The sequence below is a fragment of the Homo sapiens genome, chromosome 2 (assembly GCF_000001405.40).
Source record: "Homo sapiens chromosome 2, GRCh38.p14 Primary Assembly".
In the NCBI taxonomy this organism is placed as follows: Eukaryota; Metazoa; Chordata; class Mammalia; order Primates; family Hominidae; genus Homo; species Homo sapiens.
The window spans coordinates 216,548,286-216,554,051 of record NC_000002.12 but is presented as its reverse complement, the minus strand read 5'-3'; the positions used below and the strand labels follow the sequence as shown (position 1 = coordinate 216,554,051).

The window sequence follows — 5,766 nt, the reverse complement described above, 5'->3', positions numbered from 1 at the left end:
TCCAGGGTCACCCCAAACAGATGGACAAGCATCAGGGTGCCCAGGCAAAGGCACAAGTGAAGGCTGAAATTCTGCTTGGGGCCGAATGGCCAAAACATGTCCCTGCAGGCAGCAGGGACCTGTGCCCCTCATCCTTTTCCACCAGCAAACAGAATTCACCCTCCCAGTGTTCCTGGTGTATGATCTTTTAACAAATGTTTATTGAATACCAACTACGTACCTAAGACTGTTATAGACACTTGGAAAAAAGAGAAAAACAAACAAACAAAATCCCTGCCTCTGTGAAACTGATGTGCTAATGGAAGAGGCAATATGATGTCAGGGGTAATAAATTCTCTCAAGAAAAACAGAGTGGGGAGAGGATGGAAGACAGGGAGGCCGCCCTGGACACACTGGTCTGGGAGAGTCTCTGAGGCGGTGATGTCTACGCAGAGGCCTGAGTGGGGTAAAGGAACCCGAGGAGACACCGTGGCAGTAAGATCCCAGCCAAGGGCACATCAAGACTCAGCGCCCTAGTGGGAGCGCATTTGTATTTGAGACTGGAACAAGTGAGCAAGGGAAGAGAAGTAGGAAATGAACCAGGGGCTCCTGCTCTCTGCACTGCATGGAACCTAAAACCAGGAAGATAGAACTAGCATTTGTTTAAGTGCTGAGTATACATCAGGCACCTCTCTTATTCAATTGCTAAAACCACCCTAGGAAGGAATATATAGGCTCAGAGGAACTACCAGATCACAATACTGAGTGACTAACTTGGAATTTGAACCCAGGAATGTGTGACTACACAGCCTGTTCTGTTTTCACTGTAGCCTCCTGGAGACAGGCTTTCTTTCAGGGTCCTGAGGCACTTTTATCTAAGCAGTCACTGTATGGGGCACATTGACCCACTGTCTGAGCCCAGGAGAAAACTGCGACAAGTGTCTGCCCTTTTGGCCATCAGCCTTAACAAAGGCAGATCACAAAGACTCACTCTTACCCATGTCCCGATCCCCCACCTGCCCCTCTTCCCAAGCCCCAAAAGGGCTATGGTTTGTGTACCCATGAGATATCCTGAGGCCAGAACAGAGAGAAACAGGACTGCTAGACAGACCTAGATTCCCAGGCTTCGAGTTCCCTCTTTCTTGGAACCAAAGGAAGATCAACTGCGAAGTCACATGAAGAGACACAGATGGGCTGAGCCAAAGCACAGCAAGCATGGTGCCCCCTTTTTTTTTTTTTTTTTTTTGGATGGAGTTTTGCTCTTGTCACCCAGGCTAGAGTGCAATGGTGTGATCTCAGCTCACTGCAACCTCCACCTACCAGGTTCAAGCAATTCTCCTGCCTCGGCCTCCCGAGTAGCTGGGATTACAGGCGTGCACCACCACACCCGGCTAATTGTTTGTATTTTTAGTAGAGATGGGGTTTCATTATGTTGGCCAGGCTGGTCTCGAACTCCTGACCTCAGGTGATCCACCCACCTCGGCCTCCCAAAGTGCTGGGATTACAGGTGTCAGCCACCGCATCTGGCCGTATGGTGCCATCTTTAGAACTGCAGAGAGCTCTGTGTCAATTCCATGGTTAGTGGCCTAGAAACCTTTGTTTTCTAGACTAAGGACTCTTGGGAATCACAGTCAGGGAACCAGAAGTGACTGAGATGAGATTAGTCAACGACATCGTCTCTCTTCCTCCTGCAGTGGAAGGACCAAGGAATCAGCCAGAGTACATAGGCACCAGCCAGGAGGAGTCCAGGACTTGGACTATTAGTCAGCAAGTTCCACCATGGTAAGCAGAAAGCACAGGCCAAGCGGCTTTAATTCAGCTGAAATCCCAAACCACCAGGCTGTGTATTCACCTCACTAGGGTATGAAAAAAGATTCGGGCGAGAGTTAGTGCTTAAGACAAAAGTCACTTTCCCTTCCAGTTCTGATGATTCAAGATGTATCCAACCATTATTTTCCAACCACTTACTAGAGGAAACCTTTTACCAGTCTTCCTCTATTTTTCTTTATTTTATTTTATTTTTTGAGGTGGGGTCTCATTGTGTCCCACAGGCTGGAGTGCAGTGGCACAATCTCAACTCACTGCAACCTCCGCCTCCCAAGCTTAAGTGATCCTTCCATCTCAGCTTCCCGAGTTGCTGGAACCACAGACTACTCAGACTGGCCCGAACATGCCCCTGCAGGCAGCAAGGACCTGTGTCCCTCACCCTTCTCCACCAGCAAGCAGAATTCACCCTCCCAATGTTCCTGGTTTACAATCTTTTAACAAATATTTATAGAATACCAACTATGTATCTAGGACTGTTATAGACACTTGCAATAAAGAGAAAAACAAACAAAAGCCCTGCCCCTGTGAAACTTAAGTGCTATGTTTTTGCACACCACGCCTGGCTAATTTTTTGTATTTTTGGTAGAGATGGGGTTTACCATGTTGCCCAGGCTGGTCTTGAACTTCTGGGCTCATGTGATTCTCCCACCTCGGCCTCCCAAAGTGCTGGGATTATAGGTGTGAGCCACGGTGCCTGGCCTATTCCTCTTTATTTCCTTTTTCCTTTATATATTCTCCTCATCCATGCTTGAGTGTTCTATTTCTCTCTCGTCTAATGTAATCTAATACAATGGAATATTTTTCTTTGGGATCATGGGGGAGGTTCTCACGTCTGGGAGCCTGGCCAAGGTATATGTATTTACAACATCTGAGTTCCATTTCAAAAGTTTGTTTCATGACCCTGTTCCTTTGATTACAATCTAATCCTATGTATGGGCAGGAACATTTTCTGCTGCAGCACCAGCCTTGAAAGAGACATATTACCAGCTATCACAACCTCCTCCCTGGTCACCCAGTTCAAAGACAACACACACACCCCTAGGCCTCTTCCTACCAAGCAAAATTTTTAGATGAACCACGCTTGCAGAAAAATAAATAAGACATTTTCAAAGAGACATCAATCTTAAAACTTGCTCTTAGCTTCTTTAAAAAAGAAAAAAGAGTGTTAGAGTAGATCGGTCTGAGATTTAAGCTTTCAGGTTGTGATATAAAAAAACATGTATGAGTTCAGTGCTAGCAATGATATTAAACATATATCAGCTTTGTGTGTCTAATTTTTTTTCTGATTCAATGCAATTTATGAGCAGCCTACACCCCACTTTGGAATAGAGGCATGGAATAGTGAAAGATGCTTCACCATAAGCAGCCCTACTTTCAAATCCTAACTCAGCGACTTAGTGGCTGTGTATGCAAAACTATTTCTCCAAGCTTCAGTTTCCTCATCTATAAAATAGAGACAAAAAATATCCAACTCTTAGGGTTGAAAGAATTCAATGAGATAAAGTCTTAAAGCTCTCAACAAATGTTAATTTCTCCCATACGCACATCCTTGCATTGTGTGCAGTTAAGAGAGGCTGCAAACAGGCATTACCAGACCCTTACCATCAAAAAGATCACAACCTGTGGAAAGATAACATTTAGCAGTATATAATAAACTGCAGAATTGGTGCTAGGTTGGAAATAGTCAACACGGAAACAGTCAGGGCATAAAGGAGATAGCCCCTATCAGCAGGGCTTCTGGGAAGCCTATCAGGAAGGCTGCACAGAGATGGCCGTGAAGGGTGGGGAGGCTGGCACTTCAGGCTCAGGTGTGGAGGGAGAAATAGATTCCCATGCTTGTGGGAGCATAGGAAGATCAGAAAAGACTGACCCTAAAAGGTGGGGATGATGTGACAGGGAAGGGCCAGCGTCATGGCGTGGGGACACTGGAAAGCCAGGCAGAGGCAGGTGGCCATGATTTCATTTGAAATGGTATTCATTGTCAGCTTTGACACCGTAAGATCAGAGCTTTATGGAATGGAATGCTAAAGGCCTCCCCGCTCCCCAGACAAGAGGCAACCAGTGGGAGAAGGAGGAGCCAGTGGGAGGGGCATCCACAAAAGAGGGAGGGTGGTGGAGTCCACCCACTGCTCAGATGCAGCGGATAAAAGGGGAGAGGAATCACAGATGCCTCTTGGTTTGCGTCAGGAAAGCAAGCAAAATATGCCAACAACACTGGAGGCCCAGAAGTTAGAAAAGGGAGTTGCCTGAAGAAGAAAGAGCCATTTGGTCCATTTTGGACAAGTTTATGTGAGATGCCTGAACAAGAGCGCTGCGTGTGTGTGTCCTCTGGAGAGTGTGTACCCCTTAGCGGGAGGGCCTGCTTCCCCTTCTATTCCATTATACCCACTCCTCTCACTGTATTCCAGATTCATGTTTCTTAAAAACTCAGCTGAATTCATAGCTAGGTGTGCCTGGAAGGAGGAGATTATGCAAGCTGTCCCGAGGAAGCCAGAGGTGTGTTCGACCCCTGTGTTTCCTGAGTGTTAGTTGGATTCCTGAAGCCATCAGTTAGTGGTTCCCGAATGTTGTGTTCAGGTTCTCCCACCTTTTTTGAAGGAGAATAAGAGTTTCTAGAAAGGATCTGACTCCAAACCAGGCAAAGTCTCATGTCTTAGATGGAGTCAATACCTTAGAGAATATTAAAATTATTGGGCCCAAAGGTAACTTGGAGATATTCTTTAGATGCTCTTAAGAATACTGTTCTTGGATTATGTATATTCCAAATATCTTCTGTGATTCGTCTCTTCACTTTCTTTAAGGAACTCTTTGATAAATCGTCATAGGTACCATGGATGGGTCCTCCTGCGCATGCATTCTGACTCCAAGGAAGCCCACCCTTCTCTGCTGATGCAGTTCAGCATGGCTTTGGCTGGCAAAGTTGTGTTGGCTTCTGGGCACCAGAATAGCAAGCAGGCCCCGAGGCAGCCAACATCAGGAATCGAGAAAGGGAGTTCCAGATGGAAGCGGCAGAGTGTGAAGATGCTTGACTGCAGGCCAGCCCCATGGCGGGGGGAGAGGTGTGGGGGTTTGGAATGCCCTAAAAGGTTCCAGACCAGTGGCAAAGCTGCTAGAAAAGGCTGAGCCCAGACCCAAAGGAAAGCCTTGTGTCCAACCCCTATGTTAAGATATGGGGAATTACAGAACCCCCAGGACTGAAATCACCCTCCCTCTAAGAACATCATGTCCACTGTTCAGCCGTCTGCCAAGATTACCAAAGCAGAATTGTTTTTAACAGAGATGGTAATCCACCACAACTCCTGTGGGTCATTCATTCAGACCCCCTGCCTTCCACTGCCTTCTATGCAATGTTAAGAAGGGAAAGAAGTCCAACTTCACATTTTTCTGGACAATTTGAAGAAACAAACACAGAGGAAATGGTTTACATCAATGAAATGGATAAAAGCTGGAGAACAGAAAGAACTTCTCAGGAGTATGAGAAAGTGTGAGAGAACAATCACAGTCTGAACAGTGAGTCTCGGTATTCTTTTGTGAAAGAGCCAACTACACTAGGCCTCAGTTTCCCCACCTATAAAATGGAAAGACCATTCGCTGCTTTGCCTTACTTGACATTGAAAAGAGTAAAGCCCATTTGAGATGTTAAAGGCCTTGGCATGTTGAAAGGAAGTGTCTGCAGGGATCTATGAACTGAGAGGTTATCCAGCCATGGAGATGGGAAAATGAGGACTGTTCACCCTAGAACATCTTCCAGGGGGACCTAATGAGTAATGGGGCCAGAGTCATTTGTAATGTGCCACCGGACTGTGCTCATCCTCTTGGCTGCCAACACTCCTGCTTTCAGATGATAGCCCACTTTTTTCCATCAAAGGAACCACGACTTGACTACTCCCAAGGCTTGGTGATCCCAAGCATTCCAAGACCACCTGCTACAAGCCTCCATCAGAGCTATCAAGCAGCAAC

The 5,766-nt window shown here is 46.4% G+C and overlaps 1 annotated feature.

The window, feature by feature from the left end:
• Positions 609–1,120: an enhancer, noted in NCBI's record as "H3K27ac hESC enhancer chr2:217417655-217418166 (GRCh37/hg19 assembly coordinates)". NCBI's record gives its function as "activates a minimal SCP1, AML or CMV promoter by ChIP-STARR-seq in primed H9 embryonic stem cells {active_cell/tissue: H9 hESC(primed)}" and the evidence as "EXISTENCE:reporter gene assay evidence [ECO:0000049][PMID:30033119]".